This window comes from Homo sapiens, chromosome 9, assembly GCF_000001405.40.
Source record: "Homo sapiens chromosome 9, GRCh38.p14 Primary Assembly".
Lineage (NCBI taxonomy): Eukaryota > Metazoa > Chordata > Mammalia > Primates > Hominidae > Homo > Homo sapiens.
The window spans coordinates 121,459,958-121,487,375 of record NC_000009.12 but is presented as its reverse complement, the minus strand read 5'-3'; the positions used below and the strand labels follow the sequence as shown (position 1 = coordinate 121,487,375).

The 27,418-nt window shown below is 46.4% G+C and overlaps 1 protein-coding gene and 1 long non-coding RNA gene across 12 annotated transcripts in view, besides 1 other annotated feature; one reads left to right on the top strand and one right to left on the bottom strand.

Annotated features, from left to right (window-relative positions):
• GGTA1 (glycoprotein alpha-galactosyltransferase 1 (inactive)) overlaps positions 1 to 27,418 on the top strand; it is a 54,855-nt gene that overhangs the window by 12,469 nt on the left and 14,968 nt on the right. For 3 of the 7 annotated variants that reach the window (NR_168459.1, NR_168460.1, NM_001382584.1), the window contains exons 2-6: positions 8,042 to 8,310; positions 19,445 to 19,533; positions 24,048 to 24,083; positions 26,059 to 26,124; positions 27,157 to 27,272. Coding sequence is in view for 4 of the 7 variants with exons in the window: in NM_001382584.1 (NP_001369513.1) it covers positions 19,454 to 19,533; positions 24,048 to 24,083; positions 26,059 to 26,124; positions 27,157 to 27,272 (298 nt within the window). In the remaining 3 variants the exon portion in view is untranslated. Of the gene's footprint in view, positions 1 to 8,041; positions 8,311 to 18,909; positions 19,125 to 19,444; positions 19,534 to 24,047; positions 24,084 to 26,058; positions 26,125 to 27,156; positions 27,273 to 27,418 lie in introns of all 7 variants that reach the window. The other 4 variants (NR_168461.1, NM_001382585.1, NM_001382587.1 and 1 more) reach the window with 2 other exon arrangements.
• Positions 14,491 to 15,053: an enhancer, noted in NCBI's record as "NANOG hESC enhancer chr9:124234601-124235163 (GRCh37/hg19 assembly coordinates)". NCBI's record gives its function as "activates a minimal SCP1, AML or CMV promoter by ChIP-STARR-seq in naive and primed H9 embryonic stem cells {active_cell/tissue: H9 hESC(naive and primed)}" and the evidence as "EXISTENCE:reporter gene assay evidence [ECO:0000049][PMID:30033119]".
• LOC102723324 (uncharacterized) overlaps positions 24,005 to 27,418 on the bottom strand; it is a 93,479-nt gene continuing 90,065 nt past the window's right edge. For 2 of the 5 annotated variants that reach the window (NR_187159.1, NR_187153.1), the window contains 2 exons: positions 24,606 to 24,719; positions 24,005 to 24,343 (listed from right to left, as the gene is read on the bottom strand). This is a non-coding gene — a long non-coding RNA (uncharacterized LOC102723324). Of the gene's footprint in view, positions 24,386 to 24,605; positions 24,720 to 27,418 lie in introns of all 5 variants that reach the window. The other 3 variants (NR_187160.1, NR_187158.1, NR_187154.1) reach the window with 3 other exon arrangements.

Below are 27,418 nucleotides of genomic sequence, written 5' to 3'. Positions count from 1 at the left end.
TCGAACTCCTGACCTCATGATCTGCCCACCTCGGCCTCCCAAAGTGCTGGGATTAAGGTGTGAGTCACCGCGCGCAGCCTGAGCCTCATCTTTAACTCGTGAGGCTCAGGGGCAGAGGTGGGAACAGAGATCAACCCAGGACAAACATCTTCTCCTGCATCTCACTGCTGTCCTCTCTGAAAAGTCGTCCCCTCTGGGGCAAACTGGGAATGGGCTGAGGACTCTTCCTTTGCTAGTGAATCTGGGTGCAGCTGGTGGCCTTCTCTGTGTGCCCGACAACCTGGGGCAAGAGCCAACCCCCAAATCCATCTGCTTTGGGGCAGCATCGAGGATTTCCTGTCTCTTCCCCCAGAGTTTTCTTTCCTGGCTGTGGGTGGCTCAGGCTGGTCTTCAGATTCGTTTTCTGAGACGTGTGGTGTGGACCTGGTCCGAAGAGCAAATAGGGGTACCTGAGTTCTGCTCACCTCTTCTGCAGATGGGCAAACCGGGAAAGGAAAGTCATCCAGACACCAGATTAAACAAATAATGAGACAATTATAGCTCATGTGTACTGGCCATTTGTTTTTACTCATGCTGGACATATTCTAGCCACTTTATAAAAGCCCTGCCTTTTATGCAGCTAGAAAAGCCAGGTGGTAGGGATTGTTATCTTTCTAGTTTTACAAGGGAGGAAACTGAGGCACAAAAAGATTAAGACATTTGTAGGGCCACATGGTATGGGAGAGACTTGGGACTGAGACACAGGCAATGAGATGGTGCCCTTCATCACAGCAGCGTGCCACCCGCACAAAACAACCTCACAGAGAGCAGGGAGCCAGCCCCGTGTGCAGCCCCCTCACCCAACAGATGGGAAACCCTGGCCCAGAGGGTTGTGGGGCCTTCCCTAGGCTCACTGGGTCCAGACTGGAGCCCAGGAGTCCTGACTGCTGTCTTAGTGCTCTCTGCACACCACCTGGGGTCCACCATCCCCAATCACCAGGGGACCTCCTGAGACTGGGAACCTGTTCATTGTGCACTGCGGACCTCCTACGAATAGACCCACGTGGGCGTGGTGTAGGTGGTCCAGCCAGATAGCAACAGTGTCCTCCTCCCACACTGAGAAAGGTCTTGGGGCATGGAGTTCTGGCTTCAGCTGTAAAGTTCAAAAACACTGTTCTCCTGTCAGATAGCCCTTGCAGCAGAGAAATGGGCCACTCATCAGCCTCTGTCACATTTCCTGTTTGTGAGCCTGGACTCAAGTGGAGTTTTAGGTGAAGGGCAAAGGGCATGGAAGCAGAGCCTTCCTTACTGGAATACAATTATCAGAGGGGAAAAGAGCCTAGAAGTTTCCACCTAAACCTTTGTTTTGTGGATGTGGAAACCGAGGCCTAGAGAATGCAAGAATCTATCCTAGTTCATGGTGTGCGCAGGAATCACAAATGGGTTTTTGGTGGTGGTGGTGTTGTTGTTTTGAGATTATATAATCTTAGAATGGGTGAGCTAGCAGAAACCCAAGCTGTTCCTCAGTCCACTTCCCCATGTTCCACAGATGTGATCTGAGGAAGTGGGTGTATGTGGGTGCAGAGGGGAGGGGACCTTCCCCACTTCCCTCCTTCTTTGAGCCTCTGTATCTTCATGTGTAAAATAAAGCCCAAGGCCCTGCTCTGCTGATCCCATACAGACATCCACCAAAGGTCTTTGTGTGTGCTAATCAGCGTGGATGCTAGCACTGAGCGGGAGTGGGCTGCTGGTTGTCTCCCATTTTTCTCCAGAGCCCGGCCTGAGTCCCAGGTTTGGGGAACCTTGTCTTCACCCCACTGCTTTCCTATACACCGCCATCCACTCAGCACTGACTACATTTTGGCAACTCCCTCTATCCCATCAACTCAGGAAGACACGTATTTCAAAGGAATATAATGCTAGACACTTTACACGTGACAACACTTAACCTTCACAACAACCTTGCAAAATCCTGTTCGTTCACTAGTTAGGACGGGATACTGAAGTTCTGAAGGAGGCTGCCTGGGGACTCTGTCACATAGCCAGTGGGGTGGGGGACTCTCGGGGGATTGTCCCAGCTCCTCACGGTTTTCCTGGAGGCTCCATTCTGTCTGCCTGCCTTGTAGCCAGCACTGAGCAGAGGGCAAGGGAGCCAGAGAAGGTAGGCCCATGTGGCCTGGGACCAAGGACACCCTGGCAGGCAGACCCGTTGGCTGCCCTTCGAACTCGTATTCTTTTAAGATTTGTTCAGCATTTATCTGGGGTGGGAAAATGGATTTGCAATGAATACAAATCATGAGCCTCTTCCAGATTCCAAATTCCATTCTACACCGGACTATTTTCCAGAAGCAGAAGGAACAGAAATTCACAGACAGAGTCACTTTCCCAGGGGCAGTGAGTTAATGTCCTGGAGAAACACTGGCTGTTCCTTGCTTTTCTGTAGCTCTCTGTTTCTCTTTAGTTTGTGTTTGAGCTTTTCCAAGCCAGACGGCTTCTGGGGAGGCTCATTAGAGGGTTTATTTTGGTTCTGGTTTTGTTTTAAGTTGCCTTAAATATAGACAAGAACAGCTAGTCTTAGAGAGGAGGATCACTCTGCGTGTCATTTATTTTGACTGAGCAGCTTGGTGTGTACTTCAGTTGGCATCCTTGAACTTAGTTCCTTGTATTAAATAAGGAAAGTATCGCTCACATTTACATAATAGCAACAATGAATTATTTCAGACTGTCAGTGTCAGAGAACCACCAGATTTATTTACTTAAATAACTTTCTGTCTGGTTACAAAAGTAATATGTTCTCATTGTAGAACATTTGAAAAATGTAGACAGCGGCGGGACCTATAATCCCAGTACTTTGGGAGGCTGAGGCAGGTGGATCACCTGAGGTCAGGAGTTCGAGACCAGCCTGACCAACATGGTGAAACCCCGTCTCTACTAAAAATACAAAAATTAGCTGGGCATGGTAGTGGGCACCTGTAATCCCAGCTACTTCAGCCTGGGCGACAGAGCGAGACTCCGTCTCAAAAAAAAAAGAAAAATGCAGAGGTAGAAGGGAAAAACAGATGACTCTCCCACAATCTCCTTGCCTGGTGTTCACCACTGTTGCCATGTGAATCTAGTTCTGGCCAGAATGTTTTCTTTTTTTAATTGTCATAAAATATACATAACATGAAATTTACTATTTTAACCCTTTTTACAATTTTTTAATAGATTCAGTGGGTACAAATGCAGTTTTGTTACATGGATATACTGCATAGTGGTGAGGTCTGGGCTTTTAGTGTATCCGTCACCCAAATAGTGAACATTGCACCCAATAGGCACAATGAGCCCAAGTCTATGCTCATAACCACCACGTTCTGCAGCCCCTCAACCACCCTGAGAGGTGGGGATTATGATTATCCCCTTTACACAGATCAGGAAGCCAACCAAATTGCTCTCTTATTTGCAAGCATCGTCAAGTAGGACTTTTTCTACCTCTCTAAACATGTTTAGGATTAAATGAATAGCAACAACTTGCAACCTTTGTGTCTGTAGCATTCTTTGCCAAGAACACTTAATCCTCACACCTCCACAGAGGTAAGCAGGTTGGAGATCGTGACCTTCAAGTTTCCCAGCAGGAAGTGACCTGGGACATGAAGCCAGGGCTCTTTACATTTGGTCTGCAGCTGCCTCTACAACAGTGAGGCCCTATAATTCTCCAACTCAGGATGTGGAAGATGGACAGATACTGAATGCTGGCTGTTATCTGATAGATCCATGGGCTGTTCGGGCTGTAATGATGAGATTAATCAACTCGGGGCTGGACACGGTACCAAGCTCTTACCTGGGCAGCCTCTGGACAGCTTTGATCAGCAGGACTCCAGCCCGAGGCTCATTTGCTACGGTTCTCTGGCTTTCAATTAAGGAATGACCCTAAATGTGTGCTCCTTTGTTTTGAGAGTTTGAGGATGAAAGTGTGTCAGGGAAGGAGGAGGGCCGTGTTTGAATTTTCTAGAAATTGAATTGTCTGCCTTCCAGGTTTGCACACTCTCTGCCAAGCTGTGGCTGACCAGCCAGGAGCCTTATTCATCTGATCAGTAGTGTTCCCTGGAGGCGCCTGGGTAGGAAGAACAGCATTGGCTCCAACGAAAAGAGGTCCCAGCTGGTGACCTCGAATGAGTCACTGAGACTCTCAGAGCCTCTGTATGTTGACCTTTGAAAATAGTGAAGGGCCCTGTCCTACCACTTCACAGGTGATTGTGATGATCCATTGAGATAAAAGAGAGAGGCTGCTCTGTAAACTGTAAAGTGGGAGGCACATGAGACCGGGGATCACTGCTTGCTCATGGAGAGGACCACTTTATCTCATCCTAGCTCTTTAGGTTTCGAAATCAATTTTCCTTCCCTTCCCCACTGACCATACATAGGTCCATGAATGGCTTTTAAAATTATTTTTCTTTTCTTTTTTTTGAGATAGAATCTCGCTCTGTCACCCATGCTGGAGTGCAGTGGAGCGATCTTGGCTCACTGCAACCTCCTCCCCGCCTCCCGGATTCCAATGATTCTCCTGCCTCAGCCTCCAGAATAACTGGGACTACAACACGTGCCACCACACCCAGCTAATTTTGTAATTTTTTTAAATTTATTTTTTTGAGATGGAGTTTTGCTCTATTGCCCGGGCTGGAGTGCAGTGGCACAATCTTGGCTCACCGCAAACTCCACCTCCCAGGTTCAAGCAATTCTCCTGCCTCAGCCTCCTGAGTAGCTGGGATTGCAGGCGCCCACTACCATGCCCTGCTAATTTTTATATTTTTAGTAGAGACAAAGTTTCACCATGTTGGCCAGGCTGGTCTTGAACTCCCAACCTCAGGAGATCCACCCGCCTCAGCCTCTCAAAGTGCTGGGATTACAGACATGAGCCACTGTGCCCAGCCGATTTTTTAATTATTTTTTTGAGACAGGGTCTCATTCTGTCTCCCAGGCCGGAGTGCAATGGTGCAATATTGATTCCCTGCAACCTCCGCCTCCTGGTCTCAAGTGATCCTCTCACCTCAGTCTTCTGAGTAGCTGGACTACAGGCACATGCCACTATGCCCAGCTCATTTTTACATTTTTTGTGGAGATGGGCTGTCACTGTATTGCCTAGACTGGTCTCCATCTCCTGGGCTCAAGGGATCCTTCTGCCTCAGCCTCCCAAAGTGCTGGGATTACAGGTGTGAGCCACTGTGCCTGGCCTCCTAGATTGTTTTAGCACAACAGATTGTCCCTGAGCCCCTCCTGAGGTGTTTGTGGTGCCTGGGATTGGGGAGGCAGGGCCCATCCAGGTCCTGTGGCCCTAGCGGGGAAAGACAGTGCCCAGGAGAGCTCAGCTCCCAGCAGGAAGATTTCTGATTTCTGTTACTTTTTATTCTTTTTTTTTTTTTTGAGACAGAGTTCCGCTTTTGTTGCCCAGGCTGGAGTGCAATGGCATGATCTCGGCTCACTGCAACCTCTGCCTCCCAGGTTCAAGGAACTCTCCTGCCTCAGCCTCCTGAGTAGCTGGGATTACAGGCATGCACCACCACGCCCAGCTAATTTTGTATTTTTAGTAGAGACGGGGTTTCTCCATGTTGGTCAGGCTGGTCTCGAACTCCTGACCTCAGGTGATCCACCCGCCTCAGCCTCCCAAAGTGCTGGGATTACAAGTGTGAGCCACCGTGCCTGGCCACTTTTTATTCTTTTTTTTTTTTTTTTTTTTTTTGAGACAGAGTCTCACTCTATCTCCAGGCTGGAGAGCAGTGGCGCAATCTTGGCTCACTGCAACCTCCACCTCTAGGTTAAAGCAATTCTCCTGTCTCAGCCTCCTGAGTAGCTGGGATTACAAGCACATGCCACCACACCCAGCTAATTTTTGTATTTTTAGTAGAGACGGCGTTTCACCATGTTAGGCTGGTCTCAAACTGCTGACTTCAGGTGATCCACCTGCCTCAGCCTCCCAAAGTGCTGGGATTACAGGCATGAGCCACCGCCCCCTGCCAGTTTGGCCTATTTTTGAACTTTAAATAAATGGAATCATCCAGTGTGTACCTTTTATGCTGGGTTTCTTTCACTCAGTGCTGTGTGTGTGAGATTTTCCTTGACGTGAGTAGCTGTAGCTCGCTCATTCTCATTGCTCTAGGTAGAATCCCATTGTGGGACTAGGTGATAATTTACCTGTTCTGATGATACGCCTTGGGAGAGCATCTAGTTTGGGGTGTGCTATGAATTTTTTTTTTTTTTTTTTTTTTTTGAGATGGTGTCTTGCTCTGTCGCCCAGGCTGGAGTGCAGTGGCGCGATCTCGGCTCACTGCAAGCTCCGCCTCCTGGGTTCAAGTGATTCTCCTGCCTCAGCCTCCCGAGTTGCTGGGACTACAGGTGCCTGCCACCACACCTGGCTAATTTTCTGTATTTTTAGTAGAGATGGGATTTCACCGTGTTAGCCAGGATGATCTCGATCTCCTGACCTCATGGTCCACCCGCCTCGGCCTCCCAAAGTGCTGGGATTACAGGCCTGAGCCACTGCACCCGGCCAACTATGAATATTCTAATGCCTGTGTCTTGGTGAACATCCACACACTTTCGTTTGGGTGTGGAACTGGGAGCAGAACAATAGGATAGGCAGGTGGGCATCTGTTTGGCTTAAATAGTTAGCCACAGGAAGGATTTAAGCAAGGTATTAGGAAGACTTCTGGACCCTAAAGGTTGTGGCCAAATAACTCATCCCCTTAAGAGGCGGAAGCTGTGAAATTTCCTTCTGGGGAACGGGAGGAAGAGGCTGGATTAGGCACTACTGAGCGACCGGGGGGCCAGTCCTTGATTCCTTCCTGTCTGGCTTTGGTCCCCTGTCTTTAGTCTGGGGTTTCCAGACTGTACTCCCTGGAGATGTCTCAGCCACGTGGGAGGATGAGGAAGGGGCTTTGAGCATCATTTCCCTGCTTTAGCCAAAGGACTCCGTGTGCTCTGTTTCAGGTCGTGGGGATTCTGAGAATGATTTTGTTTGCTTTTTGAAAAAGTTTTAGCTGTTTCGACATTGGAAAATCTACTGCCCACCGGGCATGGTGGCTCACACCTGTAATCCCAGCACTTTGGGAGGCTGAGGCGGGCGGATCACGAGGTCAAGAGATCGAGACCATCCTGGCCAACGTGGTGAAACCCTATCTCTACTAAAAATACAAAAAAATCAGCTGGGCGTGGTGGCATGTGCCTGTAGTCCCAGCTACTCGGGAGGCTGAGGCAGGAGAATCACTTGAACCCGGGAGGCGGAGCTTGCAGTGAGCCGAGATCACGCCACTGTACTCCGCCCTGGGCGACAGAGTGAGACTCCATCTCAAAAAAAAAAAAGAAAAGAAAAGAAAAAAAGAAAGAAAGAAAATCCACTGCCCCTAGGTCCCTTCCAGCTGCAAGATTCTATTTTGGGAGCAGGAGGTGGGTATGGGAAGGGTTAAGCATTATTCAGCCAGAGAGCGGAGTTGAGCCTTGGTGACCTTTTAAAGTTCTTGTAGTGTGCTTTGTGCTGTGGGAGATCCCGTAACATTCTATAAAAATGTAGTGTTCAAACCAAACAGCGACTTCTGAAGCCTAAAAGATGTAGAGGAAGGACTTAACTTTGAGGAACATTTAGGTAGAATTTCCACCAGTCTTGAGGACTCTCAAGATAGCCCTTTGTCCACTCCTCTGTGGTGTGTGTGTGTTTGTGTGTGTGTTTTAACGTCTCCATTGGCTGGTGGCTGGTCCTAGGAGCAGTCACTTGAAGTTGTTTGGGTCCAGAATGGTTTCCATTTTTATCCAGTAGTGTGTGATGTGGGCCCCCTTGGTGTCCCTCTCAAGGGTGGGTGGTGGCCTTTCCTCCTCCCATACTAGGCCCAGTTTGGACCATGGTTTTGCTTGGCAAGGAGGCTGGGCCGCTCATGGATCCAGAGAGGAACATTTCTGCCTTGGCACACAGCTCTGAGTCAACAGGCCTGATAAACAGCTCGTTTCCCAAAGGCCTGCAAGGAACAAAGCCCCTGGCTGCTGAGGGCTCTGTCTACTCCCCATCTCCTGAAACAGCTGTTTATTCTTTCGACAGGAGTTGAAACCAGCACCTTCCCTTTCTCTGAGTCCTGCCTCCTTCTGCAGAAGGGAGCTCAAAAGAACTTTGTTGTTTTGCCTTTTACTCTGGGGTGAAAGCGGCAGGAGGTATGTGAGATGGTGAAATGATTTGCTTCTGCCATGCTGGGGTCACGGGTGGATCGCCCTAAACTCTCGGTGGCCCCCTCAGTAGTTTTGGAAGAGGACCAAGTCCTTGTCTCTCCAGCAGTGGACCTGGAAGAAGGATGCCGGCTCAGGGACTTCACTGTAAGTTCAGCTTTATTTTGCTCCCCTGGTAGGACCTCACAGGGCTGCAGCCAAGCTGCAGCCTGGAGTTTTTCCTGAAGGATTTAAGTTGTTAATGCAGGAGCAGGGGGCAAGTCTTGGGGCTCAGGGTGAAGTTATGGATGGAGGCAGAGCCCTCTCAGAATTGTGTAGCATCTTTCATTTATCTTACTTTGGTTCTCTGGGAAAAACCCTTGCAGTGATTTCCAGACCAGGCAGCATGGAAAAGCTGGCTGGATTCAGCCTTTAGATTTCCCAAAGGGGATTCGAGAGAAAGCACTGTAAGATATACTTCAGAGAACAGGTCGTTCCATTTGAGATGGCTGGAGCGACAGTGGGCCATGTATTCAGTCTGAGACCTGTCTCTTATTTTCTTGTGTCTGTTTACTCTGACCCTTATAATGAAAAACAAAACTGGAGACAACCTTCCATGCACTTCCCCTGCTTCCCCGTGAATTGTATCGTGGAAGCATTTCCTTGTAAGACCCACCAGCTCACTGAGGTTTTAGGATAATAAGGCACTCTTCCTCCTTACACCCAGCACCATCCCTATGCCAAGGGCTGGGCCTGGGAGGCAGGCATTTTAAATCTGGCACCAAGACTTCTGGGCATGCCCAGTGATCTCTGGCAAGCTATGCCCCTTTGCTAAAGCTCAGTTTCCTCAGCTAAAAAAGCCACACTAAGGCCACCGCACTGACCATTGTGAGGAATAAACAAGATGCTGTGAGTGAGGACACCCCACAACACGCACACAGAAGGTGCCTGGAAATGCTAGGAGAGTTGAGCTGATGCTCACCAGCTGGTCCAAGGAAGAGCTGGCCCCACAGCAATTAACCCATGCAGAAGACTTCATGTTTTCTAGAGCAACAGAGTGGTTAAAAGAGAGGGCACTAGAGCCTGGCTCCCTGGATTTGAACCCCAACTCCACCACCTTATGCTATGTGACACTAGGCAAGTTACTTCACCTTTCTGAGCCTCTGTTTTCATATCTGTGAAATGGGGATAATAATAGAGTAACTTCACTGGGTTGTCATGGGGCTTAACTAAGAGACTCCTGAAAAGGGGTTTAGCCCAGGGTCTGGCCTGGCCTGGCTTGACTGGGGAAAATACAGGTGTTGCAGGGTTTGAAGCTGATTCCATTTGGGGAGCCCTCTTTAAGAAGAAGAATGGGCTGGCCGTGGTGGTTCATGCCTGTAAATCCCAGCACTTTGGGAGGCTGAGGCGAGCAGATCACGAGGTCAGGAAATCGAGACCATCATGGCCAACATGGTGAAACCCCGTCTCTACTAAAAATTAAAAAAAAAATTAGCTGGGCGTGGTGGCGGGTGCCTGTAGTCCCAGCTACTCGGGTGGCTGAGGCAGGAGAATGGCATGAACCTGGGAGGCGGAGCTTGCAGTGAGCTGGGATTGTGCCACTGCACTCCAGCCTGGGTGACAGAGCAAGACTCCGTCTCAAAAAAAAAAAAAAAAAAAAGCAAGGTTGCAAATGCAATGTTAGGTATGAAAGTAAGTATCTGGAATATGAGAAGTGATATCACAACAAATAACAAAGACTGACAAACATTCCAAATATAACAAAATCCAGAAAACAACGACATAAGAAAATGATGTAAAACTAATACAAAAATGATTAGTATTACTTAACTGTCTGATACACCTGTCATGTTTGGGCTACATACTCTTTGACTGCCACATTATCTGACAACAGTTTTCTAGAATCATTTCCAATAAAAGAGAAAAGACAGATAAATCAGTTTTGCCTGTGGCATGGTTAATCAATGGGTGCTTTTTATTACTGAGAGTTTAGAGCAATTTATTTTAGCTTCCCAATTTGTTATTGGCGATGCCACTTCTCTAAGTCATTTGACAGTTTCTCAGGTGGCTCCAGCCAGATCATGAGAAAACTCAGCCCTGGATCCTTGCTAGGCACAGTGAGGCAGACGAACCTGGGTGGAGCACGAGGTGGCTGTGAGACCTGGATCATAGTGACCCCTGAGCAGGGAGCAGAGAGAGTAGTGTGTAGTTCATCTCCTTCTTCTTGAGGCCAAAGGAGGAGGGGCCCAGGTGCTCAACAAGGTCCACCTGGGACCGGTTGTTTCTGGGACCTAGGTGGGTGTGCAGGTAATGGGTCAGCACCCCAGCTCAGCCTGCAGCCCCTGGACAGGCACTGAGGCTAGAGAGTGACTCTCCCAGGCAAGGCAACACTCTACCTCTGGGAAGCATTTGGGGCTTTCTCATGCTCACCCTAATGGGAAATCAGGCCCAGTCTTGCAAAGGGGCTTGTGCACATGAGGACCCTGACACCTAAGCGTCATTAGCTCCTGGTAAGTCAGCCTCTGCATTCAGCGCATATTGGTTGGTGGTTCCTATGCATGATCTGAGCCAAAAGGCTGAGAAGTGATAGTTGATGAATCCTATCATTTGATCATCACACCAAGGGGCCCGTGTAGGTCACTGCAGCAGGGTGAGCTCTATGTGGCTAAAAGAACTGCCCTCAAAAAATGAGGTTTACATCCCTGAGGCTGATTTCTCATGCACATCCTGGGTTCATCAGAGAAGAACTGGGGATTACTGGGGAATCTTAGCTCCAAAGGACTTGTTTCTGGGCCAAGGAGTCTGAGGCCAGAGAAACTCGTGACGCCAGTTTAGAAAGCTGGCACTGTGTTGGTGCTGGGGCTGACCTGCAGGACTATGACAAGGCTGGGGACAGGGTGAGGCAGGGGTGGAGCAAGGAGGTGGGGTGGGGTGCAAATGGAGGTGCAGCTGGTCTGGTCAGAGCCGTGTTCCTGGGATAGAGCAGGGCATGGAGCTGACTTTATCACAACATGCAGTTGGCGTGTGGACTCGCTCCTGACTGTTCTGAGAGATGCTGCCCATCAAGATTCCCCTCTCAGATGAACTCACAGCCCTGCTTTCACACCAAGCTCTGAGCCATGCATTTCTGAATTTCTCCCATTAAAAAGCATCATCATTATTATAGGTACTGTGTGGGGGGCATTAACAGACCATGGGCACAGTATGCTTTCAAGAACCCTTTGAGGAGGGTGTTAGAATCTCCATTTTGTATATGTAAATAGAGGCTCAGAGTGTTAAAGTAAGTGGCCTAAGGTGTACATCTAGGACTCTGCTGATTTAAGAGTCTTTGCTCTTAGCCTAATTTTTACCTGGAATGCTGGAGCTGAACACTCTCCTTTATAATCAAGGATCTGGAGGACTTAAGACTAGAGTCTTGTCCAAGGTCAGTAATACCCAGTTAATTACTGCACCCTTCCCCATTCCCTTACCTGTTTTCCTTCTCTTTGTTCACTGTCACTACCTGACATTATATATCCTGTTGAGTCTCTTGACTCCCATTGGAACAGAAGCTCTATGATAATCTTGTTCAGTAAAGCATCTCCAGTTCCAAAAACCATCTGGAGCACAGTAGCCTAGTCCATGTTTGTTAATGAATCCATGGCAGAGCAGAACTGGAGTGCCTCAGAACTCTCCTTACTCATTTGTTCACCCCAAACACTTGTGTTACAGGAAGGGGGTCTGGATCCAGACCCCAAGAGAGGGTTCTTGGATTTCACTCAAGAAAGAATTGAGGGTGAATCTGTAAAGTGAAAGCAAGTTTATTAGGAGAGTAGAGGAATAAAAGAATGGCTGCTCCATAGGCAGAGCAGCCCTGAGGACTGCTGGTTGCCCATTTTTATGGTTATTTCTTGATGACATGCTAAACAAGGGGTGGATTATTCATGGCTCCCCTTTTTAGACCATATAGGGTAACTTCCTGACATTGCCATGGTATTTGTAAACTGTCATGGTGCTGGTGGGAGTGTAGCAGTGAGGAGGACCAGAGGTCACTCTCATCGCCATCTTGGTTTGGTGGGTTTCAGCCGGCTTCTTTACCGCAAACTGTTTTACCAGCAAGGTCTTTATGACATGTATCTTGTGCTGGTTTCCGGTTTCATCCTGTGACTTAGAATGCCTTAACCATCTGGGAATGCAGCCCAGTGGGTCTCAGCCTTATTTTACCCAGCTCCCATTCAAGATGGAGTTGCTGTGGTTCAAACGGCTCTGACACTTGGGATGCTCCTACTGGGAGCCAGGGCCTGTGCCAGTCTGGACCCATCACAATAGCCTGAAAGTGATTAAGGCTCAAGCGGAGGACGGGTGGGCTCTAGGGGCCTGATGTAGGAATCTCAGGCTGGGAGGAGAATTCTTTAGCCTGCGGAGAAGGCTTGGTTTCTCCTGCCACCACTTTCACCCTGCCGGATTCCTGCTCTCTGAGATAATGGCTTTTCCATGGCATCTGAGTGCATGGCATTCAGCTGAGAGGTTCACCTTTTCCCCTGGCACGAGATGGAGAAGATAGGATCTGCTAGAATTCCTTTCAGAGTGGAATTCTGTTTGGAACGAATTACCTTGACTTCGCCCTGTTGGGGTGGAACTGTGAGATTCTCAGAGGGTGTGTGTGTTGTTCTGTGTGAGAAGGATTGGAGGTGGGTGGTAGGGAAGAATTCACTTATAGGCCATATGGAAAAGTCTGTCTGACACTACAAGGAAACAGAAGCGGAAAAGGAGGAGGGTGAGGGTAGAGTGAGGAAGGTGGAGAAATGACAGGCTGTACAATGTGACCCTGCCTTGCAAAATGCCTCTATATTTTTAGCATAATCTGCACACGTTCCAGGAATGGGGGTGAGAGTGCTTGCATTTGGGAAGCAGTGCAGGCGCTGAGTTCTGGTTAACTGAGTTCTACAAATGGTCTGGGGCCATAGGATGGATTCAGAGAGAAAGTATAAGAGTATTAAGGCAGAGGGTCTGAGAGATGGCAGGAGGGCTCTGGACCATTGCAGGCTGTGCAACTGGGGCTGGCCAAGTTCACCCAGTCCTCTGAGGGGTGGGACCCAGGGGACATCAGGGTTCCACTCTCCCACTTAAGACAGGGTGTTAATACTTGGAAGGTCCTAATTCTGTGCTCCACCCCTTGAAAGGAGAATTTTAGAACTTTCTTTTCTTTTCTTTCTTTCTTTCCTTTCTTTTCTTTCTTTCCTTGTTTCTTTCTTTCTTTCTTTTCTCTCTCTCTCTCTCTCCCTCCCTCCCTCCCTCTCTCTCTCTCTCTCTCCTTCTCTCTTTCTCTCTTTCTTTCTTGCAGGATCTCACTCTGTCGCCCAGGCTGCAGTGCAGTGGCTTGATCACGGCTCACTGCAGCCTGGACCTTCCCAAGCTCTAGTGATCCTCCTACCTCAGCTTCCCCAATAGCTGGGACTACAGGTATGCACCATCACACCCAGCTACTTTTTGTAGAGAGGGGGTTTCCCCATGTTGCCCAGGCTGGTCTCGAACTCCTGGGCTCAAGCAATCTGCCCATCTTGGCCTCCCAAAGTGCTGGGATTACAAGCATGAGCTACTGTGCCTGGCCCAAACCCATGTTTCTTACTGGTGGGTAGGACAGTGAACCACCAGTCTTCAGAATTACACAGTTGAAAATTCAGAGAGACAAACACACAAGGGAAGAACTTTTAGACCACAATGGCTGCCAAATGCCTCATTTTTTTGTCCAGAGAGAAAAATAAAAATGTTTTAAAAGACCCATTGGCCACCCTGCCAACCTTTCCTCCCTGGAGGCTTGGATTCCAGATTCCAGGAAGCATGTCACCGCCTATTTGTAGTGCTTTGCTGAAGGATGCAAAATTGGCTCGTTCGGACGGCTTCCAATTCTAAGTCTTTTTTTTTTTTTTTTTTTGAGATGGAGTCTTGCTCTGTCACCTAGGCCGGAGTGCAGTGGCATGATCTTTGCTCACTGCAGCCTCTGCCTCCCGGGTTCAAGTGATTCTCCTGCCTCAGCCTCCCAAGTAGCCGGTATTACAGGCATGTGCCGCAACACCCAGCTAATTTTTGTATTTTTAGTAGAGAAGGGGTTTTGCCATGTTGGCCAGGCTGGTCTCGAACTCCTGACCTCAAGTGATCCGCCCACCTCAGCCTCCCAAAGTGCTGAGATTACAGGTTTGCACCCGGTCATCCAATTGTAAGTCTTAAACAAGAGTAACGATTGACCACAGCAAAAAAGCAGGCAGATTCAAGCCATAGATAAGCTCCAGAAAGAAGTGGGCTTCAAGAGTTGCTTCTGATGCTAATTTTTGGAATAAAAAAAAATCATAAACATCTCTGTATTTGGAGCGGGGATTTGGAGGTATGTCTGATTCGGGCTATCCCTGATGTAAGCGCCAATGTTTCCAACCGTGAGAGTTTTCACCTTTCTCTGCCTAACGTTCCTTACAATTTGCATTTGATCCTCAGCAGGTGGGGTTGGCAAGGCTTGGGACACACAGCCAGCCTCTCTGTTGCCTCCTCGGCACACATAGGGGGTTGTAGCAGCGCCTGAGGCTTGATCAAAGAGAATCAAAGTCACATCCCACTTCTGAGGCATCCTTAATCAGGCTATGACACAGAACAGATGGGTAAACCTTTAGAGTCCTTCATTTGCATTTATTTGCACTTCATTGTATAACATGTTCTTATTCCAAATCCCTCCTTTCTTTCCTTCAAATCTGTTTTGAGCACTTGCTAAATACCAGGCACTGTGCTATCTCATTGCATCCTCCCAACAGCCTGTTTTATGGCTATCAGTAATAAGAACTAGTGGACTTTTTTTTTTCTTCTGCATTTATACGATGCCAGGCACAGTGCTAAATATTTTATGGGCAACATTATCTCTTGTAATCATCACTATTAATTTAATGTGATCCAGTAGAGGTCCACAATCCCTTATCTGAAACCCTGGGGCCAGATGTGTTGGAATTCAGAATTTTTTGGACATGGATTATGTATCATATATAACATTCCTGGTGCAGCAGCACCACATAATAAAATACATCAATATTTATGCATAGAAATGTTTAAACAGCCTCACTCAGTGGGATAAAGATTATAAATGGCCTCATGTCAGTTAGGGCCTTGATGCCAATTGAATTACAAAAAGGTGTTGGGTTTTCAGAGCTTTCTGGAGTTGTTGATGAGGGCCACTGCTCAGGGTTACCCAGCTTCATTTGTCAAAGTTGAGACTCACATCCCCACATCACTCCAAAGCCTGTGGCTACCACCATCCCCACTTCTCTGGAAGTGAGGACATCGGCACAGAGAGGTGGCCACAGCCTTAGGTTTTTGCACCCGAAACTAAGACTTTTCCAGCACTCAATGCTGGTGCTTCGGATGCAGACTCTAGTGACTTTTCTCAGCAGTGGGGGATGAGTTGCCTGCAGCCATCTGCCTTTTCTGACTTTGCCACGGGTCTGGGGCTGTATGTGCTGGCTCATATGGTACTTAGAGGGAAGAGGCCTGAGACTATCTTTACCCAGCAAACTCGTCATCTCAGGGTCTGTGGAATACTGCCCATCACAGTTGTGTGGAAAGCTGGAAGTTGGGTTATAACATTGAATTCAGCCCAGCTTTTTTGTTTCCAAACAGAGCTCACTTTCTGAAGATCCCACTCTTTCTCTTCTTTAACTGGATTTCATAATAAAGGGTTTGTAAGATATGAGATCTGAGTCTGGAATCATCTAAGAAATCTCTTTGAAAAGAATTGGAAAATGACCTGTGTCCAGAGAACAAATTTAAGTATCATTCTTATTTGATTTCATTCACTCAGCAAACATTAATGGAGTGCCTCGTGTACTCTATGTGAGGCACTGGGGATTCAGGGTTGAATAAAACACACCTCCTGCACTCAGGAAGCTCACAGACTAACTGATACCGGAGGCAGAGCCACCTCCAAAAACAACATGTACAGCAACGTGAATAGACAGGGGGAGCCCAAGAAGAGAAGGGGGACTCAGCTGCTGGGTGGGCAGGGGTGGGATGTGGTTTCACAAAGCAATGACATTTGGTGTGTGGCTGGCCACTGTCTCCTCTTAGCTTCCAGAGGTCCACAGTCTTGGTTTTCTTCCTCCCTCCCGGGTTTCTTCTCAATCCTACTTCAAAATGTTGACATTTTCAGGCTTCAGCCCAGGGCCGGCTTCTTTCCTTTTCCTCTCTCTACATTCTCTCACAAGGTAACCTTGTAACCGCCCAAGGGGTTCACCTTGCCCGCTGCCTAGACAGAGCTGATTTATCAAGACAGGGGAATTGCAAAGGAGAAAAGAGTAATTCACACAGAGCCCGCTATGCGGGAGACTGAAGTTTTATTATTACTCAAATCAGTCTCCCTGAAAATCTTATGACCTCCAGAATAATGGCTGGTAATATTTAGAATTCCAGCCCCTCTCATTCTAACTTGGTGGCTGGTGGCCTTCATTCATTTTACAAGAACAGTTTAGCTTTTGGGAAGGGCTATTATTTAAACTATAAACTAAATTCCTTCCCAAGGCTAATTAAGCCTACGCCCAGGAATGGATGACAGGTTAGAGGTTAGGAGCAAGATGGAATTGGTTAGGTCTGATGTCTTTCACTGTCATAATTTATTTAGTTATAATTTTGCAAAGACAGTTACAGCCTCATTCATTTCCTTCACATTAACTACCTTCCATATGTGAACAACTCTTCCAACTGCATGTCTAGCCCATATCTCTGTTGAACTTCAGACTTGAATGTCTGTTTGCCTCTTGTCATCTCCATTTAGGAGTGTGTAGACACCTCAAAATTAACATATTCAAGTGGGAACTCATGATTCTTACCCCTCAAACCAATTCCTCTTCCATCCAACACATCTCAGAAAATGCTACAATTGTCCACCTGACTGCTTAGACAGAAACCTTGTTTCTTTCTTCTCCCTTGTCCCTGACACCTACATGACCAGCCAAATCCTATCAATTCTCTTGCCAAGGTATATTTTGATTAATCTACCACTTTCCATCTCTCTACCTACTTTTTAACACAGGCCACTGTTATGTATTCTTTTATGTGATGGTCAGTCCAGTGTGATCACAAGAGGAGACACAGGAAAAGCTCAGGAAAAAACAATGTTTATTATGCTCACGGGTCCCAAAGACAGGAGGCATAGCACACCATATGGGACCACATGGGACCACATGGGAAAGACACAAGGGTGGTCAGGAGACAGAAGACAGGCAGCAAGGGGAAGACTGAGGCCAGAGCCCTTATTGAGGTTTCCATGGGAAAGACAGTGCAGGGTGAACAGTTTAGGATGGACTAGTTTGAGTAATTTCAGAGGGCTTTAGGCTGTAGGGATGGCCCCTAGTTGTCCCGTACCTGGCCCTGATGGGATGCTTAAGGCCAAGTCATATTGCCTCCTGGGGTGTGCAGGGCAGGTGAAGATCTACAGCTCAGGATTGGTTCATTTGTATATCAAAGGCATGCTTCTAGCTGAGCCCTGGCTATCTCTAAGAACTGGCTAGTCATAGAAGAGGACATTATCTCCTCAGCCAGAGAGGTTTTTGAAGATGTGAAAACATCATAACATATAGCCAAGAAAAAAACATGTATGCAATACAGCCACCCCTTCGTTTTGGCCATCAGAGTAGTCTGCCACCTCATTCTCCACGCTGCTGTCAGCTCTGATCTACCCTCCACACCCCAGCACACAGGCAGGCATCTCTGCATGAAGTTAAATCTGGTTATTCTCTGGCTTCCAAGGTGCTTGTGGCTCCCTTTCCTCCCTCCCATGCCTTTCATCGTCTATTTGCCCTGTCCGCCATCCTGTTGCCAACTAGCACCCCTCCTTGGATCCAGCCATGCTGAGGTGACAGTATTTTTCTTCTTTAATGCTGTCTGTTTAAATACAAGAAGTTTTTTCACCTGTCAGCCTGTTACATATGCTGCTCCCAAAATAGTCTCATTCCTTCTTATGGTGCTTTTCATCCTTTTCCATCCCTCTTTATCCCTTGGGACTCGACTTTACTTTTACCTACACAGTGAGCCTTCCCTGATCACCCACATTAAAGTACTTCCTGGCCTGTTATTCTTCACACAGCACCCCTGCTTTTTTAAGCAGTTTCACGCAGCGATCAGGGAATATCTATGCACCTGCTGTGTACCATTTTTTTTGCTTGCCTGTGAGTGTGATGAGGCTACGCTGGGGGTAGCTGGGAAGTGGATGGGGCCTAGCTTGTAAACCCAGGGTCATTTTCTCCTCTGAGCAAGGGAATGTGTTATCACTATACCAAGGGCATGGAGGTTGGGGATGGGGTGGCTCCTCACAGTCACGAGATAAAAGGTGGGGCGATCAGACTTGGGAGGCAACTGGAGTCCCTGGGAACCATGTACAGCTACTTCCATTGTCTCCTACATCCATGGCAGATAGGGATACCTCCCCTCTGAGCCCCAGTGTGGCCTTAGCACCCTTGCCAATGGAGGCAGCCTCCTCTATTAACCAAATTGGCATGATCTGCCACTGCAGGTCTATGCAATTTAAGGTAGAACAGACTCCTCAGCTCTAGTTAGATCATCCTAAATGTATCCTTTTAGAAAGAATTAGGTGGGCATGTAAATTAGTTCAACCATTGTGGAAGACAGTGTGGCGATTCCTCAGGGATCTAGAACCAGAAATACCAGTTGACTTAGCAATCCTATTACTGGGTATATACCTAAAGGATTATAAATCATTCTATTATAAAGATACATGCACACATGTGTTTATTGCAGCACTATTCACTATAGCAAAGACTTGAAATCAACCCAAATGCCCATCAATGATAGACTGGATAAAGAAAATGTGGCACATATACACCATAGAATACTATGCAGCCATAAAAAAGGATGAGTTCATGTCCTTTGCTGGGACATGGATGAAGCTGGAAACCATCATTCTCAGCAAACTAACACAGGAACAGAAAACCAAACACCGCATGTTCTCACTCGTAAGTGGGAGGTGAACTATGAGAACACCTGGACACAGGGAGGGGAACATCGCACACCGGGGCCTGTCAGGGGATGGGGGGCTAGGGGAGGGATATCATTAGGAGAAATACCTAATGTAGATGATGGGTTGCTGGGTGCACCACCATGGCACGTGTATACCTATGTAACAAACCTGCACGTTCTGCACATGTATCCCAGAACTTAAAGTATAGTAGTAATTTTAAAAAAGAACGGGGTAAAAGCATTTTTTAAAAACTGCCTCTTGAAGTTCATTGATTTAATCTGTTCTCTTTTTTTCTCCCCTCTTCTTTTTTCCTAGGAGAAAATAATGAATGTCAAAGGAAAAGTAATTCTGTCAATGCTGGTTGTCTCAACTGTGATCATTGTGTTTTGGGAATTTATCAACAGGTAATTATGAAACATGATGAAGTGATGTGGATGAAAATACTGCTTTGATTCTATCCTACTAGTATCATCCAAGTTGCCAGGCTGAATTGAAATTAGGATTAACTAAAACCATAAATAAGGGATTCCACCCTTCCTGAATTCCTAAGCCCTGGACTGTCTTTAAAATCATTAGCTCTCCCAAGTGACTTCTGGCTAACTACTTATCTTCCTTCCTGCCTTGTTCCTAATATCATAATTTTTGTAACAGTAGGCTAGATCCAGAGAAAATGAGATCAAATTAGGCCCAATGTAATTTTAAATAACTTGGATAATCAAATATGGAAATTACCTTAAGAAATTTCAGACAGGAATTCCATGAGAAATCCACCCTGAATTTTGAAATCCTGAAATATTTGCAGAGTTTAAAGGAGCAACTTAAGTTGTTGAATTTTGCTGCAAAATACATACTGAATTGCTAGTGATTCATTTGTGCCTGGCTAAAATCTTTGAGAGAGAGAGAGAGTGTGTGTGGGTGTGTGTGTGTGTTTAACTTTGAAAAGCAAAATGAATTAAGCATTTCTAAGTTTTCAAATTCATCTATGGATTCACCCCAAATATATGAGCTACCTCTGTGCCTTTTGAAACTACAATGCCTGGCCATTCCAGCTGGAGAGGCTTCTGACTGAAGTCTTCACAAGCAGCCACAGAAATGCCTGATGCCTTTGACTCAAAAGACTGGAAAAGCTCAGCCTTAAGGTTCAAAAAATCTACTGTACAATTGAGTTGTACAGAGCTATTTTGGTACCATTAATATTTTCATAGCGGAGTGTTTCAGTGGCCCCCAAGTTCAAGATGGTAGCCTGGATTAACATTCGAATATCTCTTTTGATTCTTTTTTTTTTTTTTTTTTGAGACAGAGTCTCTCTCTTGTCACCTAGGCTGGAACACAGTGGCATGATCTCGACTCACTGCAACATCTGCCTTCCAGGTTCAAGCAATTCTCCTGCCTCAGCCTCCTGAGTAGCTGTGATTACAGGCGTGTATTACCACGCCCAGCTAATTTTTGTATTTTTAGTGGAGACAGGGTTTCACCATGTTGGCCAGGCTGGTCTTGAACTCCTGACCTCAAATGATCCACCTGCCTCGGCCTCCCAAAGTGCTGGGATTACAGGCGTGAGCCACCATGCCCGGCCTCTTTTGATTCTTAAATTCTAAGATTTGATGATCTAGGAGGACTGTCTTGGTTACTAAAAATGGAACCGTGCCTTTAGGTGCATCAGTAGCAGAAGAACTCTCCGAATGCTGGAGCCATTAGTCCCTGTGGTGCTGCACAGATGTAACCATTTCTGGAATGTTGCTTTGTTTCATTCTGCACAACTCATTTTAAGAAAAACATGACAAACTAGAGTGTGACCAAGTTAAAAGGGTCTGGAAACTAGGTCTTTTGAATTGAGAAAACTGAGGGGATTTAGTTCAAAGAAGAGATGACTCAGAGTTTTGTGTGGGGACCCTGGAACTCTCTTAGGCAACTGAGGGCTGAGGACGTTTCCCACTCAGACTCTAGAGCTAGGCTGCTCCTTGGGCAAGTTGCTCAGCCACTCTGTTCTTGTTTAGTTTCCCTATCTTTAAAAATTGGGGATAATAGGCTGGGCATGGTGGCTCACACCTGTAATCCCAACACTTTGGGAGGCCAAGGAGGACAGATTGCTTGAACCCAGGAGTTCAAGACCAGCCCTGGCAAAATCGCAAGACCCTGTCTCTACAAAAGTAAAATTAAAAAGTTAGCCAGGCATGGTGGTGCGCACCTGTAGTCTCAGCTACTTACGACGCTGAGGTGGGAGGATCACTTGAGCCTGAGAGGTTGAGGCTGCAGTGAGCTGTGGTCCTGCCACTGCACTCCAGCCTGGGTGACAGAGTAAGGCACTGTCTCAAAAAAAAAGTTGGGGGAGGGATTATAATAGTACCTGCCTCATAGGGTTGTTGGGAGAATTAAATAAGTTATTGTGTATAAAGCACTGGGAAGCAATGCCTAGGGCTTAATAAACAATAAATGCTAGCTGTCATCCTCCTCCTCCTCTTCCTCATCATCATTTTAGTTCAGGCCACTATAACAAAGTACCACAAGGTGGTTTAAGCAACAGGAATTTAATTCTTTCAGTTCTAGAGGCTGGGGAGTCCAAGATCCCCAGTGAGGGCTCTTCCTGGCTGGCAGATGGCCACCTCCTCCCTGTATCCACACGTGATGGAGAGCAAGTAAGCTACTGCCTCTTCCTCTTCTTGTAAGGACACTAATTCCTTCATGGGGGTCCTACTCCCACGACCTCATCTAAACCTAATTACGTCCCAAAAGCCCCACCTCCAAATATCATCGCACTGAGGGCAGGGCCTCCACATACGAATTTTGAAGAGATACAACATTCACTTCGTAACAGTCATCATCATCATGATCTGCTCCAGAGGGCAGAACAAGAAAGATTTTGGTAAATAGAAGAGCTCTAGCAGTTGGAAGAGTCCAACAGAAGAACAAGTACCCTTTGGGGTTCCTGCCTGGAGTCGGAATGTCTGCTTGGATAACCTTCAAGCTCTGAGTTTGAACACTTGATCAGATAACTTTGGTGTTTGGAATTGTAGCCAGAGTTGTATGTGCATAACTGAGCCAAAGGCTGAAACGTGCATGTATATACCAGCCTCTCTGGGCACACTCTCTCTGCATGGTAGCCAGAGCAGGTTCTGGCTGCTCTTCAGGCTAATCGTCTGGCACCTGGACTCTGGCCACAACATCCTCTGATGTGCAGAATCCACTTGAACATCTGCAAAAAACTTCAAGGGGAGGAGTTGTTTTTTGTTTTTTTTTTTTTGTTTGTTTTGTTTTTTTGCCACTTTACGAATTGGCCACATGATAGGTTGAGGTGAGCCGAGGACACAAACCTTACACAGGTAGGCAGCACTAAGCTAAAATGGATTAAAAATAACTAACTCAAGCATGTCAACCAATTAGTAAATAGAAGAATTGTCAGTAAAGCGTATTGAAAGAATATCATCTAGGATAGCATTTGATTTCAGGCTGGATGAAAAAATAATCTTCGAATTTTAGAGAATTAGAGGAAGCCTTCAAAATTATGATGAAATATTCATGATAGTGGTGATCATGATGGGAACTACAAGTTATTGAGGGCATGTGCCAGGACCCTTGCTATGCATTACCTCCGATTCTTTTTGTTTTGTTTTGTTTTGTTTTTGTTTTTGTTTTTGTTTTGAGATGGAGTCTCAGTACTTTGGAAGGCTGATGCAGGCACATCACTTGAGGTCAGGAGTTCGAGATCAGCCTGACCAACGTGGTGAAACCCCGTCTCTACTAAAAATACAAAAATTAGCCAGGCATGGTGGTGTGTGCCTGTAGCCCCAGCTACTCAGGAGGCTTAGGCAGGAGAATTGCTTGAACCCAGGAGGCAGAGGTTGCTGTGAGCCAAGATCGTGCCACTGCACTTTAGCCTGGGCAACAGAGCAAGACTCCATCTCAAAAAAAAAAAAAAAAAAAACCTCAAGGAGGCAAAAATTATGTTTGGCTTGGAGGAGGATCCATTGTTCTGCATCCATTCACAAATATTTATTGAGTATCCACTATGTACCAGGCACTGTGCTAGGATCATATCAAGCAAGGCATTGAAAAGGTGGCATTTGAGTGGAGGCTTAAAGCATGAATACATGTTTAAAAGCCACTGCAATGTGGATATTGCTGTGACCATTGTGCTGTTGAAGGATTCTGGAGAGGAGGGTAAGGAGAAGGGTTGTTGAGGAGATATGAAAAGTTGGTGAACCTGAATCTATAAATCCATGGCCTGAGTGCCAGGTAGGGTTATGCGTGCTAGGCTGCAGCACTTGTAGGGGCTTAAGAGTCTCACTGCCTTCATTAGTTAAAGAAATGCTTTTGGGGGCTGTTCTATAGAAGGCTCTGAGTTGGCCATGGCATTAGGCTCTGCAGTTGATGCTTTTTTTTTCTGGAGGAAGATAAATCCTGGGGGAAGGATGTCTGGGCCACGGCATTTCCGTCCTTTCAGGGCCTTCGTCATCACCAGGCACCTGAGTAGGTGGCAGGAGAGGACCCATCTCTGCAATGGAGAGCTGTCTTCTTTTTAAAAGAGCAAACAAACAAACAAAAACAAAACAGAATTTGAGGCCAGGAGTGATGACTCACACCTGTAATCCCAGCACTTTGGGAGGCCAACGGGGGTGGATCTCTTGACTCAGGAGTTTGAGACCAGCCTGGGCAACGTGACAAAACCCCGTCTCTACAATACACACACACAAACACACAATTTGAGATTTTGCAGAAAACTGTTTCCCCTTGAGATCCTGAAGTGGAAATTTCCATCCTCCTGATGTCATTGGTTATGTCTCAAAGGAAGGTAGAAACCAGGAAGCAGCTAAAACCCAGGCTCTTAGCTCAGCCCCGGGCTCAGTGATAATGGTTACAAAATCGCCTTTCTCAGAATTAAAAGTAACATGATATGTTTTTATTTCTTTTTTGCTTTTAGCACAGAAGGCTCTTTCTTGTGGATATATCACTCAAAGTAAGTGCTTTGAATTCTAGATTTCTAGGGGATGTTTCCCACAGCCACTCTGGCACCCCCTACAGTCCATTCTTCACACGGCAGCCAGCCATGGTGTTCGGCCAAAGTCGGAGGGGTGGGTGGGTGGATTCCTGGGGATCTGGAATGTTATTTCTGCAGCTTCCGTAGACTTATCTGTATAGAACCATGGCTTGTATCTTGCCCTCAGTTCTCCTCAAAGTTCTCTTAAGCAGTGTCATTTGGGGAACATTCCTGTCTTGCTGATAAAAAGTATCCGGGGAGATATTGTCTATTATTCTGCCCTTTAAATGTTATATAAAGACCCATATAAGAAATTGCTCTAAGAATAAAAATCAGGAAAAAAATTTGAGCCTCTTGAGAAACTAGTGTGTATCATTAAAATTTTCTTTTTGTATTTTTTGAAAAGAAAATGAGAGCCATGTAAACCTTTATATTTCCAATGGTTGGGTTGGTTGTCAGAAAGCTCAGAACAAAGTATTGCACTTAACTGCTTGTACTTACCCCAGCCTTCATTTCTGATATACTTTATCCCCTGGTGTGAAATCCCGGCTTTTGTGCCCACATGTCATGTGCCCTTGGAAATTTGCTGAAATCCACCCAGCCAGTATCTCAGCTCTGAAATGAAAGTAAAGGTGAAACTTTTCTTTGGGATGACTGAGGTCATGTGAAAATATATACCTGGGTGACGAAATCAATGTATCTCTTTCTGTTCTCTCTTGTGTTTTTTATTCTTGTGTTGTTTTTCTGTTTATTGTACCTACGTATTGGAAGCCATCTCAAACACTTCCAAGAGTTAATAGGCTTTAAAACAGATTTCATAATATTATGCCTGTTCATGAGTTAGCTCACCACCGTATTTGTCCATCGGACTTTCCTCTTTCCCCATCCTCCAGAAGGCACCCACCTTTTCTTTTCTTTCTTTTCTTTTTATTTTTTTTTAATTTTCTGAGACGGAGTCTTGCTCTGTTGCCCAGGCTGGAGTGCAGTGGTGCCATCTTGGCTCACGGCAACCTCCTTCTCCTGGGTTCAAGCAATCCTCCCGCCTCAGCCTCTTGAGTAGCTGGGATTATAGGCACCTGCCACCACGCCCGGCTAATTTTTTGTGTTTTTGGTAGAGATGGGGTTTCACTGTGTTGGCCAGGCTGGTCTTGAACGCCTGACCTCAGGTGACCAGCTGGCCTTTGCCTCCCAAAGTATTGGGATTACAGGCGTGAGCCACCGTGCCCGACCCCCCACCTTGAAGAGACTTTCACAATGAATGAGTGTGGAAACTTTCTCAAATGGGTGGCTACAGTGGCTTCTAAGTAGTTTCCTGAACTTCTTGCTCAGTGACCCTCAGATTTCCTGAGGCTGTTACTGCTAACCTTTGGGCAACCCAAATTTTTCTCTAGACTTTTACAACAATCTGAATTCTGCTGGTTTTAGCTAAAGAAACATGGAAACATGCATCGGTTTTTCATGAAGCGTATAACTTGTTACAGTCATTTTCAACTCATAAAGCTCTTATATGTATGCTATTTCATTCAGTCTTCAAAATTACCTTCATGGTAGGTCTGTTATTAGTACTATTAACTATACTTTTTGGAGGAGAAAGTCAAAATTCAGAGAGGGAAAATGTCCTATCACAGTCACACAGCTAGTAAGTGGCAGATCTAGAACTCAGGTTTATGCATTAATACCACCCCCACTCCAGCCCCCTTTTCCCTTCTCTTCCTCTAGGGCCCCCAGGATGAGCTGAGGGCTGGGGGCTACCCAAGGGAGGAGAGATTGAGGGAGTCTCAGGTCTGTTCTCTCTCATTCAGCTAGAGTGTCTCATTTCTGTCTGTTTTATAAATTGGCATTTTAAGGTTTTTTATTTTTTTAAAGTAATCTCGGCTATAGAAAGAATTTGGAAACCCTAAGTTTGGGGACACCACATTTTCTAAAAATATTTGTAAACTTTTTCATTTCTTAGAAACCCAGAAGTTGATGACAGCAGTGCTCAGAAGGGCTGGTGGTTTCTGAGCTGGTTTAACAATGGGTAAGGCGATCAGACAGCAGTCGGTGTTTGCCCACCCGCCTGGTGCTTGCAGAGGGTCCACACACAATGGTTTCATGTTCATGACCTTCTCAGTCACTCATCTTTCTTGCTTATTGAAATTATATGAAGAATATTTTGTGAGTGGGACTAGGACATTTGAGGGTTGGTTTTGTTTTTGAGACAGGGTCTCACTGTCACTCAGGCTGGAGTGCAGTGGTGCAAACATAGCTCACTGCAGCTTCAAACTCTTGGGCTCAAGTGATCCTCCTGCCTCAGCCTCACGAGTAGCTAGACTACAGACATGCACTACCACATCCAGATAAATAAGTCTTTTGTTTTGTTTTGTTTCAGTTAACTTGGGGGCTGAGGCTTGGGCTGAAGTTTATTTATTTATTTTTATTTTTTTGAGATGCAGTTTTGCTCTTATTGCCCAGGCTGGAGTGCAGTGGCGTGGTCTCGGCTCACTACAACCTCCACCTCCTTGGTTCAAGTGATCCTCCTGCCTCAGCCTCCCAAGTAGCTGGGATTACAGGCGCCCGCCACCACACTCGGCTAATTTTTGTATTTTTAGTAGAGACAGGGTTTCACCACGTTGGCCAGGCTGGTCTCTAACTCCTGACAGGTGATCTGCCCACCTTGGCCTCCCAAATTGCTGAGATTATAGGCGTGATCCACCATGCCTGGCCTGGGCTAAAGTTTAGATTGCAGGAAAGACAATCATAAACTAAAATGTTCTTAGAAGAATTGTCTTATCAAGTTTCCCTCACCCCCCCTGAAATAACCTGAGGGTTGCTGGGTCATTAAATTGTTAACTGTGGTGACTTGGAAGGGTAATGAGTTGAGTACTGCATCTTTTCATCAAAAATATGTCTTTATGAATAAACGCTTAGTGCCTAGAGCCTTTTTCTGGTCAGTTCACTTAGTGCATGCATAATCTGCCTTGGAACACATTTCCACAAGATATTCACCAGTTCTCTGACCACCGCAATCACCTTCCCTGCCTTACCTGGTTTACTTTCCCTTTGTACTTAGGATCCACAATTATCAACAAGGGGAAGAAGACATAGACAAAGAAAAAGGAAGAGAGGAGACCAAAGGAAGGAAAATGACACAACAGAGCTTCGGCTATGGGACTGGTTTAATCCAAAGTAAGAAAAGCGGCGTCACTCCCTGTGCAGCAAATCCATGGCCCTGCAGGGGGTGGTGTGGCAGTGGAGGCAACAGTGCCATTGAGAACATTCCTGATTTAGGAGAAAGAGCCTTAGCATATTAGACCTTTAACAGTAGACATATG